The sequence below is a fragment of the Homo sapiens genome, chromosome 4 (genome assembly GCF_000001405.40).
Source record: "Homo sapiens chromosome 4, GRCh38.p14 Primary Assembly".
NCBI classification, from domain to species: Eukaryota; Metazoa; Chordata; class Mammalia; order Primates; family Hominidae; genus Homo; species Homo sapiens.
Window position 1 is genome coordinate 86,188,717 of NC_000004.12, and position 16,246 is coordinate 86,204,962.

At 36.0% G+C, this 16,246-nt stretch overlaps 1 protein-coding gene and 1 long non-coding RNA gene across 15 annotated transcripts in view; one reads left to right on the plus strand and one right to left on the minus strand.

Annotated features, from left to right (window-relative positions):
- Window positions 1-16,246, minus strand: part of MAPK10 (mitogen-activated protein kinase 10) — a 583,670-nt gene that overhangs the window by 178,312 nt on the left and 389,112 nt on the right. For 10 of the 14 annotated variants that reach the window (XM_047415964.1, NM_002753.6, NM_138982.4 and 7 more), the window contains one exon: window positions 5,620-5,691. In XM_047415964.1, coding sequence (XP_047271920.1) covers window positions 5,620-5,691 — 72 coding nt within the window. Of the gene's footprint in view, window positions 1-5,592; window positions 5,692-16,246 lie in introns of all 14 variants that reach the window. The other 4 variants (NM_001351624.2, NM_001351625.3, NM_001363657.3 and 1 more) reach the window with 2 other exon arrangements.
- Window positions 1-16,246, plus strand: part of MAPK10-AS1 (MAPK10 antisense RNA 1) — a 100,121-nt gene that overhangs the window by 68,911 nt on the left and 14,964 nt on the right. The gene's annotated exons all lie outside the window — the stretch shown is intronic.

Here is a 16,246-nt window from a genome sequence, read left to right on the forward strand (position 1 = left end):
TCTTTTGCTGTGCAGAAGCTCTTTAGTTTAACTAGATCCCATTTGTCAATTTTGGCTTTTGTTGCCATTGCTTTTGGTGTTTTAGTCATGAAGTCTTTGCCCATGCCTATGTCCTGAATGATATTACCTAGGTTTTCTTCCACGGTTTTTACGGTTTTTATGGTTTTAGGTCTTACGTTTAAGTCTTTAATCCATCTTGAGTTAATCTTTGTATAAGGTGTAAGGAAAGGGTCCAGTTTCAGTTTTCTGCATATGGCTAGCCAGTTTTCCCAACACCATTTATTAAATAGGGAATCCTTTCCCCATGGCTTATTTTTGTTGAAGATCAGATGGTTGTAGATTTGGGGCATTATTTCTGAGGCCTCTGTTCTGTTCCATTGGTCTATGTATTTGTTTTGGTACCAGCACCATGCTGTTTTGGTTACTGTAGCCTTGTAATATAGTTTGAAGTCAGGTAGCATGATGCCTCCAGTGTTGTTCTTTTTGCTTAGGATTGTCTTGGCTTTATGGGCTCTTTTTTGGTTCCATATGAAATTTAAAGTAGTTTTTTCTAATTCTGTGAAGAATGTCAAAGGTAGTTTGATGGGAATAGCATTGAATCTATAAATTACTTTAGGCAGTATGGCCATTTTCACAATATTGATTCTTCCTATCCATGAGCATGGTATGTTTTGTTTTTCCATTTATTTGTGTCCTCTCTTATTTCCTTCAGCCATGTTTTGTAGTTCTCCTTGAAGAGGTCATTCGCATCCCTTTTAATTGTATTCCTAGGTATTTTATTCTCTTTGTAGCAGTTGTGAATGGGAGTTCACTCATGATTTGGCTCTCTGTTTGTCTATTATTGGTATATAGAAATGCTTGTGATATTTGCAAATTGACTTTGTATCTTGAGACTTTGCTGAAGTTGCTTATCAGATTAAGGAGATTTTGGACTGAGATGATGAGGTTTTCTAAATATACAATCATGTCATCTGCAAACAGAGAAAATTTGACTTCTTCTCTTCTTATTTGAATACGCTTTATTTCATTCTCTTGCCTGATTGCCCCAGTCAGAACTTCCAATACTCTGTTGAATAGGAGTGGTGAGAGAGGGCACCTTGTCTTCTGCTGGTTTTCTAAGGGAATTATTCCAGCTTTTCCCATTCAGTATGATACTGGCTGTGGAACTGTCATAAATAGCTCTTATTATTTTGAGATACGTTCCATCAGTGCCTAGTTTATTGAGAGTTTTTAGCATGAATGGGTGTTGAATTTTATCGAAGGCCTTTTCTGCATCTATTGAGATAAACATGTGGTTTTTGTCATTGGTTCTGTTTCTGTGATGGATTACATTTATTGATTTGCATATGCTGAAACACCCTTGCATCCCAGGGATGAAGCCAACTTGGTCAAGGTAGATAAGCTTTTTGATGTGCTGCTGGATTTGGTTTGTCAGTATTTTATTGAGGATTTTTACATTGATGTTCATCAGGGATACTGCCCTGAAATTTTCTTTTTACGCTGTGTCTCTGCCAGGTTTTGGTATCAGTATGATGCTGGCCTCATAAAATGAGTAAGGAAGGAGTCCCTCTTTTTCTATTGTCTGGAATAGTTTCAGAAGGAATGATACCAGCTCTTCTGTACCTCCAGTAGAATTCAGCTGTGAATCTGTCTGGTCCTGGGCTTTTTTTGGTTGGTAGGCTATTAATTACTGCCTCAATTTCAGCACTTGTTATTGGTCTATTCAGGGATTTAACTTCTTCCTGGTTTAGTCTTGGGAGGGTGTATGTGTCCAGGAATTTAACCATTTTTTCTAGATTTTCAAGTTTATTTGCATAGAGGTGTTTATAGTATTCTCTGACGGTAGTCTGTATTTCTGTGGGATCAGTGGTGATATCCCCTTCTTCATTTTTTATTGTGTCTATTTGATTCTTCTTTCTTTTCCTCTTTATTAGTCTGGCTAGCAGTCTATCTATTTTGTTAACCTTTTCAAAAAAACCAGCTCCTGGATTCTGTGATTTTTTGAAGGGTTTTTTGTGTATCTATCCTTCAGTTCTGCTCTGATCTTAGTTATTTCTTGTCCTCTGCTATCTTTTGAAATTGTTTACTCTTGCTTCTCTAGTTCTTTTAATTATTATGTTAGGATGTTGATTTTAGATCTTTTTCACTTTCTCCTGTGGGCATTTAGTGCTATAAATTTCCCTCTAACCACTGCTTTAGCTGTCTCCCAGAGATTCTGGTATATTGTGTCTTTGTTCTCCTCAATTTCAAATAACTGATTTATTTCTGCCTTAATTTTGTTATTTACCCAGTAGTCATTTAGGAGCAGGTTGTTCAGTATCTATGTAGTTCTGTGGTTTTGAGTAAGTTTTTAAATCCTGCATTCTAATTTCATTGCACTGTGGTCTGAAAGACTGTTTGTTATGATTTCCATTCTTTTGCATTTGCTGAGGAGTGTTTTACTTCCAATTATGTGGTCAATTTTAGAATAAATGCTATGTGGTGTTGAGAAGAATGTATATTCTGCTGATTTGGGGTAGAAAGTTCTGTAGATGTCTATTAGGTCCACTTGGTCCAGAGCTGCATTCAAGTCCTGAATATCCTTGTTAATTTTCTGCCTCGTTGATCTGTCTAATATTGACAATGGGGTGTTAAATTCTCCCACTATTATTGTGTGAGAGTCTAAGTCTCCTTGTAGGTCTCTAAGAACTTGCCTTATGAATCCAGGTGCTCCTGTATTGGGTGCATATAAATTTAAGAGAGTTAGCTCTTCTTGTTGCATTGACCCCTTTACCTTTATGTAATGCCTTTCTTTGTCTTTTTTGATCTTTATCAGAGACTAGGATTACAACCCGTGCTTTTTTTTTTTTTTTTTTTTTTTTTTTTTTTTTTTTTTTGCTTTCCATTTGTTTAGTAACTATTCCTCCATCCCATTATTTTGAGCCTATATGTGTCTTTGCATGTGAGATGGGTATCCTGAATACAGCACACCGACGGGTCTTGACTCTATCCAATTTTAACTCAATCCAATTTGCCAGTCTGTGTCTTTTGATTGGGGCATTTAGCCCATTTACCTTTAAGGTTAATATTGTTATGTGTGAATTTGATCCTGTCATTATGATGTCAGCTGGTTATTTTGCCCATTAGTTGATGCAGTTTCTTCATAGTGTCGATGGTCTTTACAATTTGGGATGTTTTTTCAGTGGCTGGTACCAACTGTTCCTTTCCGTATTTAGTGCTCCCTTCAGGAGCTCTTGTAAGGCAGGCCTGGTGGTGACAGAATCTCTCAGCATTTGCTTGTCTGTAAAGAATTTTATTTCTCCTTCACTTATGAAGCTTAATTTGGCTGGATATGAAATTCTGGGTTGAAAATTCTTTTCTTTAAGAATGTCGAATATTGCCCCCCACTCTCTTCTGGCTTGTAGGGTTTCTGCAGAGATATTTGCTGTTAGTCTGATCGGCTTCCCTTTATGGGTAACCCAACCTTTCTCTCTGGCTGCCCTTACCATTTTTTCCTTCATTTTAACCTTGGTGAACCTGATGATTATATATCTTGGGGTTGGTCTTCTCAAGGAGTATCTTTGTGGTGTTTTCTGTATTTCCTGGATATGAATGTTGGCCTCTCTTGCTAGGTTGGGGAAGTTCTCCTGGATAATATCCTAAAGAGTGTTTTTCAACTTGGTTCCATTCTCCCTGTTACTTTCAGGTACATCAATCAAACATAGGTTTGGTCTTTTCACATAGTCCTATATTTCTTGGAGGCTTTGTTCATTCTTTTTCATTCTTTTTTCTCTAATCTTGTCTTCACACTTTATTTCATTAAGTTGATCTTCAATCTCTGATATCCTTTCTTCCGCTTGATGGATTTGGCTATTGATACTTGTGTATGCTTCACGAAGTTCTCACGCTGTGTGTTTCAGCTCCATCAGGTCATTTATGTTCTTCTCTAAACTGGTTATTCTAGTTAGGAATTCCTTTAACCTTTTTTCAAGGTTCTTAACTTCCTTGCATTGAGTTAGAACATGCTCCTTTAGCTTGGGGGAGTTTGTTTTTACCCACCTTCTGAAGCCTACTTCTGTCAATTCGTCAAACTCATTCTCCATCCAGCTTTGTTCCCTTGCTGGCGAGGAGTTGTGATCCTTTGGAGGAGAAGAGGCATTCTGGCTTTTGGAATTTTCAGCCTTTTTGTGCTGGTTTTTCCTCATCTTTGTGGATTTATCTACCTTTGGTTTTTGATGCTGATGACCTTCAGATGGGGTTTTTGTGTGAATGTCCTTTTTGTTGATGTTGATGCTATTCCTTTCTGTTTGTTAGTTTTCCTTCTAACAGGCCCCTCTGCTGCAGCTCTGCTGGAGTTTGCTGGGGGTCCACTCCAGATCCTGTTTGCCTGAGTAACACCAGCAGAGACTGCAGAATAGCAAAGATTGCATCTGTTCCTTCCTCTGGAAGCTTTTTTCAGAGGGGCACCTGCCAGATGCCAGCTGGAGCTCTCCTGTATGAGGTGTCTGTCGACCCTTGCTGGGAGGTGTGGGGTCAGGGACCCACTTGAGGAGATAGTCTGTCCCTTAGCAGAGCTTGATTGCTGTGCTGGGAGATCTGCTGCTCCCTTCAGAGCTGGCAGGCAGGAACATTTAAGTCTGCTGAAGCTGTGCCCACAGCTGCCCCTTCACCCAGGTACTCTGTCCCAGGGAGATAGGAGTTTCATCTATAAGTCGCTGACTAAGGCTGCTGCCTTTCTTTCAGAGATGCCCTGCCCAGACAGGCAGAATCTAGAGAGGCAGTCTGGCTACACTGGCTTTGCTGAGCTGTGGTGGCCTCTGCCCAGTTCGAACTTTCCAGCATCTTTGTTTACACTGTGAGGGGAAAACCGTCTACTCAAGCCTCAGTAATGGCAGACGCCCCTCCCCCCAACCAAGCTTGAGCATCCCAGGTCGACTTCATACTGCTGTGCTGTCAGTGAGAATTTTCAAGCCAGTGGATCTTAGCTTGCTGGGCTCCATGGGGGTGGGATCCCCTAAGCTAGACCACTTGGCTCCCTGGCTTCAGCCCCCTTTCCAGGGGGGGTGAATGGTTCTGTCTCGCTGGTGTTCCAGGCACCACTGGGGTATGAAAAGAATCTCTTGTAGCTAGCTTGGTGTCTGCCCAAACGGCCGCCCATTTTGTGCTTGAAACCCAGGACCCTTGCGGTGTAGACACCTGAGGGAACCTGCAGGTTGCGAAGACCATCGAAAAAGTGTAGCATCTGCGCCAGAGTGCACCATTCCTCATGGCACAGTTCCTCATGGCTTCCCTTGGCTAGGAGAGGGAGTTCCCTGACCCCTTGCACTTCCTGGGTGAGGCGACACCCCACCCTGCTTCAGCTCACCCTCTGTGGGCTGCACCCACTCTCTAACCTTTCCCAGTGAGATGAACCAGGTACCTCACGTGGAAATGCAGAAATCACTCGTCTTCTGCGTTGATCTTGCTGGGAGCTGGAGACTGGGGCTGTTTCTATTCAGCCGTCTTGCCAGCTCCTAATTCTAAACTACTGTTAATATGATATAAATACTGACTTTGGTGTGGAATGTATGCAAATGGTATGTCAAAGTGGAAATACAAGGGAATATACTGTACCTTGTTTTACCTGTAAGGAACACACACCTGACAAAAGGCAATTTTCACATCCAATGTTGGTTCACTGCAGTAGTATAAGAAATGGAGGCTCATAAATACCTAGAGGAAAAAGAAATGGAGCATAAATTTTCAAATCACTAGTTTTTCATTATATAACAATATAGATTTTGGCATAATTTGAGTTATATGCAAAGTACCATGCACAACATATCTCCAACATAATCCTTATCTTGACCTGTACTATACCTTTCACAAATTGTATTTAATAATGAAATAAGGTTAAAATGTCCTATCTTTTATAATGATCAATTCCATCACACTCATAAAGATTAGATATAAGAAAGTGGACATACCTAATAATTTAAAGGGAAATACATCCTGTTATAAAGCATTTTCAGTTCTTAACATTTAATTTACAAAAAAAAACTCTCAAACATATGCTCAACAGGATATATATATTTATTGTAGAATAAAAGCACTATTAAATAAAATATAATTTATAATAGAATTCTATATAGGACTTGGAGTAATTATATTAGAGCTTACTGTATCAGTAATAGATAAATTTTTCAAACATGATATTGACCGAGAAGAAAAGCAGTTTGTAACAGATATAAGGAATATACTATATTTGTGTGAAATTTTAAAATTACAAAATATACAAAAATGATTATATATTGCTTTTAAGTAAATATAATTGTGGAGTAAAAAGTATTAGGCACCATATTAACATAAGTTTAATCTTGGTGGGAAGTACAAAAATTCAATTATATCATTTTCTGTATGTTCAAAATATTCTATAAGTTTGCACAGTTTTAAGAGGAAAAGTTATCTAATGGTAGTAATGCCAAATTAGGTACTAAGTTATTTGAGAATGACACAGCAACATCAGAGAAACCCAAATAAATTGTTTTGAGTTCAATTAAACACACTTTGTTGAATGCTGATTGTGTGCAAAACGCACAATACTGTCAGATTAAACCATTTAAAAACACCATCAATATGCGACTTCCATTTCTGGCAAGGATTGATAGATGTCCTGAAAATCACTATCAGTGCAAAATCCCTAAAAATGTTAACATAAAATACACAAAACATCTTTCAGAATGCATAGCTGAGTGGTCAAAAATAAAGGCATGAAAAGTTCTGAGAAGTTGAAAACAATGTGAAAGAATACATGCAGAGAAGTAAATGAGCTGAGGCCGCTGTTTGTCACAGGCCGTCTGCTGATGTCTGATGACTAGAACTTTACTTCTTTTTTTATTTGTATTTTTTTATTATACTTTAAGTACTGGGATACATGTGCAGAACATGCAGGTTTGTTACATAGGTATACATGTGCCATGGTGGTTTGCTGCACCCATCAACCCATCATCTACATTAGGTATTTCTCTGAATGCTATCCCTCCCCTAGGCCCCCACCCTGACAGGCCCCTGTGTGTGATGTTCCCCTCCCTGTGTCCATGTGTTCTCATTGTTCAGCTCCCACTTATGAGTGAGAACATGCAGTGTTTGGTTTTCGGTTCCTGTGTTAGTTTGCTGAGAATGATGGTTTCCAGCTTCATCCATGCCCCTGCAAAGGACATGAACTCATCCTCTTTACGGATGCATAGTATTGCATGGTGTATATGTGTCATATTTTCTTCATCTAGTCTATCACTGATGAGCATTTGGGTTGGTTGCAAGTCTTTGCTATTGTGAACAGTGCTGCAATAAACATAAGTGTGCATATGTCTTTATAGAAGAATGATTTATAATCCTTTGGATATATACCCAGTAATGGGATTGCTGGGTCAAATGGTATTTCTGGTTCTAGATCCTTGAGGAATTGCCACACTGTCTTCCACAATGGTTGCACTAATTTACACTCCCACCAACATTGTAAAAGCATTCCTATTTCTCCACATCCTCTCCAGCATCTTTGTTTCCTGACTTTTTAATGATGGTCATTCTAACTGGCATGAGATGTTATCTTATTGCAGTTTTGATTTGCATTTCTCTAATGACTAGTGATGAGCTTTTTTTCATGTTTGTTGGCTGCATAAATGACTTCTTTTGAGAAGTGTCTGTTCATATCCTTCACCCACTTTTTGATGGGGTTGTAAGCTTTTTTCTTGTAAATTTGTTTAAGTTCTTTATAGATTCTGGATATTAGCCCTTTGTCAGATGGATACATTGCAAAAACTTTCTCCCATTCTGTAGGTTGCCTGTTCACTCTGATGGTAGTTACTTTTGCTGTGCAGAAGCTCTTTAATTAGATCCCATTTGTCAGTTTTGGCTTTTGTTGCTATTGCTTTTTGGTGTTTTAGTCATGAAGTCTTTGCCCATGCCTATGTCCTGAATGGTATTGCCTAGGTTTTCTTCTAGAGTTTTTATGGTTTCAGGTCTCATGTTTAAGTCGGTAATCCATCTCGAGCTAATTTTTGTAGAAGGTGTAAGGAAGGGGTCCAGTTTCAGTTTTCTGCATATGGCTAGCCAGTTTTCCTAACACCATTTATTAAATAGGGAATCCTTTCCTCATGGCTTGTTTTTGGCAGGTTTGTCGAAAATCAGATGGTTGTAGATGTGTGGCATTATTTCTGAGGCCTCTGATCTGTTCCATTGGTCTATATATTTGTTTTGGTACCAGCACCATGCTGTTTTGGTTACTGTAGCCTTGTAGTATAGTTTGAAATCATGTAGCATGATGCCTCCAGCATTGTTCTTTTTGCTTAGGATTGTCTTGGCTATATGGGCTCTTTTTTGGTTCCATATGAAATTTAAAGTAGTTTTTTCTAATTCTGTGAAGAAAGTCAATGGTAGCTTGATGAGGATAGCATTGATCTATAAATTACTTTGGGCAGTATGGCCATTTTCACAATATTGATTCTTCCTATCCATGAGCATGGAATGTTTTTCCATTTGTTTGTGTCCTCTCTTATTTCCTTGAGCAGTGGCTCATAGTTCTCCTTGCTCTTCAAGGTCCTTCATATCCCTTGTAAGTTGTCTTCCTAGGTATTTTGTTCTCTTTGTAGCAGTTGTGAATGGGAGTTCACTCATGATTTGGCTCTCTGTCTACTATTGGTGTATAGGAATGCTTGTGATTTTTGCACATTAATTTTGCATCCTGAGACTTTGCTCAAATTGCTTATCAGCTTAAGGAGATTTGGGGCTGAGACAATGGGGTTTTCTAAATGTAGAATCATGTCATCTGCAAACACAGACAATTTGCCAGCCATCTTGCCAGCCACTCAGAACTTCAGTTCTTAAAATGTAGCATGCAGAGTACAGGAAACAAGATTTAGACCTATCTACAGTGGGAAGTCATACTGGAGACACTGCATAAAGCTTACTATAGGAAGTTTTCAATAAACTGTAGGAGGAAGCAAAATAATCTGAGAGGGAAGGTCTGAATTGCAAGGAAAAATGTTTTGCATTGGAACTTCTGCAGGTTTTTTAAATTTAAGGAAGACTGAAAGGATAAGAATATATAAGACATTCCTGAAGAAGAACAAGTGGCTGTTTGCCTAGCGCCGGCAAGGGAAGTATTCTGCCAGAGATCAAGAACTATTATAAAGGTGTGATAAGTAAAAATATGTTGCATTGATGTCATGATAGACTATGAATTAATAGAATACAGAGCCCAGAACAGACACAGACATACATGGGAACCTGATTATGTCAAGGTAAGCACTGCAGACATCTGAGGAAAGAAGAAACTATGCATTAAATCATGCTGATCCACCCCAATTAGTCATTGTATGGGGATGGGGAGAAACTAGATTCCTGTTGGAAGGCAATTCTCTATGGCCCTCTCATATTTCCGCATGTTTTGCAAACAGAAACACTAGTTTGTTCCAGACCATCTTGCTAAGGATGATTATATAGCAGACAGCCTTGAAAGATAGAGGTAGTGTCTCCTTCTGGAGAAAAGGGTAGATCTAATGACTATGGGGCGGGCTCTCTGGGGCAAAGGTCAGGCATGATTCCTGCCCATTACAAAAGATTTGGGTTCCCTTAGCTTGAGGTTTCTCTTCAGTAATGCAACTGTGTGTGCTGAGGTCACCTGAACATTACATCATCCTATGGGAACTGGGGCCCGAGGAACTGACATGAGTTCTGACATTCTAACTGCTGCTATTGCTCTGAGTAATAAAGACCCTCGTATCTGACCCAGGAGTCTTGTATCTTCTGCCAATATTCATAAAACTGTCAAAGGCTAATTTATGAACTTGCAAGTAAGGTAACATCTCAGACTCTCCAGCGTTCTCAACAATTCCTACCTCACGTTGTACACAAAAAATAATTCCAGACAGATCAGAAATTTCAGGAAAGGCCAAACTTTAAATAATATAGAAGAAAATATGGTTGACTGTTTCTGTGAAATAAGTCATAAATAATATATATGCTAAGCTTTGAAAAATATATTAATAAAATAAACTATATTAAAATTAATAATCTGTGTATTAAAATATGTGATAATTAGTATAAAAAGTAGTCCACATGTTTGAAATAAAAATCAAAATACATATAAACAGTGAAAAATTTATTGAGAATCTATAAAAAGCTCCTTAAAAATCAAGAAGAAAAGACAAAGGACCAATATATAAATAAAACCCAAAAAATTGAAGAATTTCATGAAAAAAGAAATATACGAGCACTCACAAATATATGCGTACCTTAAAATCATATTGGGATACTATTTTATATCCTTCAAATTGTCAAAAGCTGAAGAGTATAATACATATTCAGTATTTGGAAGGAGGTTGATTTGAATATTTGTACATTACTAATAGGTGTGGCAATTGGAACAACTAAATTTAGAGGGAAAATGCCATTATTTAGTAAACTTGTGCATAGCCTACAACACAATAATTCCACATCTACACATATTCCTAGAGAAACTCTTATGTTTTTATACCAGTATACATGTACAAGAAAATTCATTAGAATATTTTTATAATAGTGCAATAAATAATAAAAATGAACTCTGGAAAAAAACAAATATTCATAGAAAGAACAATGAATAAATAAATTGTGGTATTTTCCTTTAGTGGAATACCATATAGCAATGAAATAGTTGAATAGTGAAACAAGTATCAAATATGACAACATCTCTTTTTTTTGTTATGTTATACTTAATCCATTTATGAAATTTTGAAAATATGCACAACTAAACAATATCTTATTTAAGAATATTGCTTTAGTATGATAAAACTGTTTTTTGAAAGCAAAGGAATAAAAAAAGCAAAATCCAAGAGATGAGATAATTATCCTGGGGAGATGAGGAGTGCCACTGGGAAGGGGCGTGCAGGGAGCTTCAAAGACATTAGCTATGTCTACTTCTTGAAGCTGGGCAGTGGGGTTCACACATGTTTGTTACATTATTTAAACCCTATGAAACATATCAAACATTATTTAAGCATATGAAACATATATTATTGGATATGTCTGAAATATTTTACAGAAAAAAGGTCAAGTGACACAAGGAATTAGTGGTCCTTCAGTGTTCTGCTGGGCCTTGTGTATGCATGGATGTGTATGCACGTTTGGTATGATGTACCAAACACTCATAATAGCCACTAATAGGAAATACTCTTGAGGAGAAATGCTGAGGTTTGTAAAGCAGGAAGATAAAAGGAACCATTAAACTACTGAATTAATAAATTATAGAACTTTTCCCATTTTAGATTTTTTGTTATATTTGAAAATAAATTCTCTATAGGAAAAAAATACTAACTATAATCAGTAAGTAAAAAACAAAACAAAAGGAGCAATTTACTCTGTAAATTTTAACCTGTGATGTTATTTTATTGCGTGTCCAGGGATTTTATGTATAATTTTTGCCAGACAGTAACCACTACTTTGTTAATGTTTTAATTTTTTAACAAAATAGTTTTGATTCAAGTCTAATTTACACAGCAAAATGAACCATTCTTAAGCGTACAGGTGGATGAATTTTGAAAAATGCATATATCCCTGAAACACACATTTCAATGAACAGAGAATAGTCTGAAAACCCCATGTGCCTTTTTTGGAAAATACTCCTCACCCTCCAAACAGTGTTCTAACTTCTTTCATTATAAATTAGTTATTCTCCCAGAACTAATGTAAATGAAATTACACAGTATGTATTCTGTTTTATTGGGCTCTTTTTGCTCAGCAAAATGTCTTTAGTATTCATCCACGTTACTGTATTTATCAGTAATTGTCCCTTTCCATTGCTGACAAAAATGTACCATAGCTTGTTAATTGATTCTGCATTTGGATAGTTGAGATGTGTCTATTTTTTAGATATTATAATAATGCTGCTATGATCATTTATGAACGTGTCTTTTTGTATAAGTATGTTTTCATTTCTCTTAGGGAAAATGCGTAGAGAAGAAATTATTGGATTGAGGAATAATATGTGTAATTTTTTAATATCTAATTTTTATGGATACATGACAGCTATACATATTTATGGGGTACATGTGAAATTTTAATACAAGCATACAATGTGTAATGACTAAATCAGGGTAATTGAGATATCCATCACCTCAAGCATTTATAATTTCTTTGTGTTAGGAACATTCTAATTCCACTCTTTTAGTTATTTTAAAATATACAATAAATTATTGTCAACTAGAATCATCCTACTGAACACTAAATCTTATTGCTTCAATCTGATTATATTTCAGTACCCATTAACTATTCCCTCTTTACTCCTTTCTCTCCACTACCCTTCCCAGCCTTTGGTAATCATCATTCTACTCTATCTCCATGAGATCAATTTCTTTAGTTCCCACATATGAGTGAGAACATGCAACATTTGTCTTTTCATGCTTGGCTTATTTCCCTTCACATAACGTCCTCCAGTTCTGTCCATGTTGTTGTAAATGACAGGATCTCATTCTCTTTTATGCTTTAACAATATTCCATTGTGTATATGTATGTACCACAGTTTATTTATCCATTCTTCTGCTGATAAACACTTAGGTTGAAGGAATATGTTTAACTTTTTAAAAGCTGCCAGAACCATTTTCAATCTCCTGCAGCAATGTAAGAAAATTCAGTTGCTTCACATCCCTGCCAACATTTGATGTAATCAGTTTTCTAAATTTTAATCATTTTAGGGAGTGTTTAAAAATATAATGCTGACTAAAAATTTTGAGAAATTTTTATATGTTATTGGCCATTTATTTATCTTCCTTGGTGAAGTGCTTTTCCAAGTCTTTTGCTCAATGGATAGTGGACTGTGGATGGAGAGAAGGCTTTATCTTTATATTACAAATTATAGAAATGCTTTATCTATTCCAGATAAAAGTCTTCTGTTAGAGACACGCATTACAAATATTTTCTCTCAGCCTTCAGCTCGCATATTCAGCTTATTAATGTTATTTTTAAATTAGTAGTATTTTTAATTTTATGAATTTATTTTTTTATTTATTTTCCTTTTATGATTAGCTTGTTTTTGGCTTTGTGCCTATCCCCAGGTTCACAGAGATATTCTCCTATATATTCTTTGTGAAGCTTTAAATCGTCTTTTTCTTCTTCTTTTTTTAGTGATTGTTCTAGAGTTAACACCCTACATTTTTAATTTATAATAATCCAGCTTCAAATAATATTCTGCTTCACATATAGTTTAAGAAACTTACAATAGTATACTTCCATTTTCCTCTCCAATCCTTTGAGCTATTGTGTTACATATTTTACTTATACACACATTATAGACCTCATAAAACATTGCTATTAGTTGTGCTTTAAAGAGGCAATTATATTTGAAAGAAATTACCAAAAAGTTACTTTGTATTTACTCACATAGTACAAAGGGGTATAGTTCTTATACTCTTCTTTAAGGTTTATTTGTAATCATTCATGGGTTTTGATATTATTTTAAATGGTATTTTTATTTTATTTCTATTTTCAAACTGTTCATTTTCAGCATTCAAAATACATTGTTTCATTGTTGCTCACTGTCTTGCAGCATACATTAAACAGGGAAGTCTTCCAGTCACTCTTTGATCTTTCCCTCAGTCTTCTCACAGCACTTTGTTCATTACTTTTGTTATGAATATCGTATAGTATTGTAACCATTCATTTGTATGTCTTTTCCATTCTATTTAAGACCTTCTCAAGGAAAATGACTATGTTTTATTAATCTTCACAACCCCAGGGCCTACCACTATTGTTGGTATATAGATAATGTTGAGAAAATGTTTACTGAATGAAAGAAGAACCCAATTTTAAAAGTACAAATCTACATTTTTAAATTATCTCCTCATATTGAAACCTGTGAATTTGCGATACATTTGATACTAACAAATTAGGAGCAAGGAGTTTGCAGTAGTAGAAATATGAAGGAAATAATCCAAGCACAATGACTTCAGAAATGCTACCCAGCAGTGACGTTTCAGTTCTCTACTGCTGAAGTGGGCATGTGGGAAATAATAACATCCAGCACCACCGCCCCAAAACAAACAATGTGTTTTAACTTTTAATGAATGAATAATCTTGCTATGAAAAGCAGGCATCCTGATCTTTCCTAGTTTGCATTACAAAGACTCCAGTGTAACACCATAGCTAAAAATTTACAAAGTCACTGCGTAACCTTCTTGTTCTAGGAAGACACTTTAAAAGATAAAAAATGTTTACTATGACAATCCCAGCAAATTACAAAAAATTCGTTTGCTAATTGTTTTTCCTGGTAGCATGGCAGAGAGCATTTGGCCCATTGTATAGAAACAACACAGATGATCAAGGTGGTATCTCAATATTATGCTAAAGTGAAATTAGTGACAATATCTTGGTGCAATATAGGACCTGTAAGTAGCTTGAAAGAGAAGGAGATGCTAATTTAGGGAGTTTAGTGCTTTCAATCACTAGTTGTTCTTTTGGGAAAAGCCCCATATGAGCATTTCTTGCTATGCTATACACTGTACTGAGTTTCTCTTTATTATATGTCTATAGGAATTACTGGATACTCCAAACAAAGCAATAGGCCAAGTTGCATGAATGAAATACACTTAAGAATTTATTAGGCTGAATTGGTGCACAGCAGCTGCTGTAAGATAATGTAACTATGACGTGTTTTCACAGCTTAGATCAATGTTTAAATTCTTGTGTATCTGAGATGTGTCAACTAAACCACAGGAGGTTTAAGAAGCTTCACAAATGCAAAAATCAAATTGTTCTGGGCAGCTCCAGGATTCCATGGTTTGTCACTGAACTGCAATATATACAAGGAAAAACCATGAACTACTAATTATTTAAAAAAAAAGTTCCAACAGTTTCTAAGTTCAATCGGTATACGATGTCATTACTTATAAGTAATTTTTGTATTTATTACATAGCAGATTTACTATGAATGACTTTTATAACAGCCTGCAAGCATATGTATGATACAAGAACACAAAGTCATTGTTAATTAAAAATGACTTTGTGTTCTTGTATCATACATATGCTTGCAAGCTGTCATAGACACACTCTGTCTCTTCCATGTTCAAAAGGATTCTCCCTATAATATGCAAAAGACCAGATGAAAAATATGCCTTGAAACAAGTAATTATCTTTTCAGGGGCTGCAGTAGAAAATAGAATTAAATTTAATTTTCTAATAAGAACTGTGCATATGCTCACTTTAACATACTGTCAAATTCTTAAGTAGATGTGCTATCACTTAGAGCACGAGGCAGCAAGTTATGGTCCATCAGTCAAATTCAGTTAATCACCTGTTTTAATAAATAAAATTGTATCGGAACATAGCCATCCATTAGTTTATAAATTGTCGATGGCTGCTTTCACATTACAGTGGCAAAACTGAGTAATCGTGAGAGGAACTGCATAAGCTATAAAGCCTAAGATACTTATTAGTTGGCCTTTATAGAAAAAGTTTGCCAACCTCTGATTTAGAGCATGCTAACTGACAAAGAACCAGAAGTATACCATTAGCCTCGATAGAAAGGCCAAACTAATTTAATGTCTCCAACCATAAGTATATAAATGCACAAAATAATTTCTAAAATAATATCTAATTTCTCATAAATAATATCTCCATAGTTTTACATCTAAAACTTAGATGTTTCTTAAAATATTGTTCATATAACAAGATAGAAGTAAAATTCTTTAATTTTGATGACACAAAATAGTATGATTTGCAACCAGTGGGAAGAAAATTAATTAACATTAGAGTTATCACCAATGAGAGAAAGGGACACCAATCAAGATAGCTAGTACAACAAATTATTCCCAATACTATAATGATCCAGTAATATGGGAAGCATAGACATAGACAGCATACAAATATGAGAAATAATGTGTGGAATCTGAATGGAAACAAAAGAGGAACCTCAGAACGGTGACAACTTCAGTTTTGTAAATCCAGCCATGTTTAAGGACTTCTGGGGCACTGCAGAACAGCTTTTTGTCATTATTTCTTTCCTTCTTCCAACTCCAATGAGATTACTCTTGTTAAGAAATTGTATCACAGGAATTTCCCAATTCCTTTTCTTTTTACTAAACAGTAGACACTATGCATGGCTTAAATTGTAGATGGGGAAATGGCAGTGGGTTACAGAAGTCATAATCTATGTGAGCTGATCTGATATTGTAGCACTCTCAGATATTTTTCTTAAAATTATAAAAAAATGTTCTTTCCATTATTTTGGAAAGTCAGAACTGCTGAGATGGAATATAAC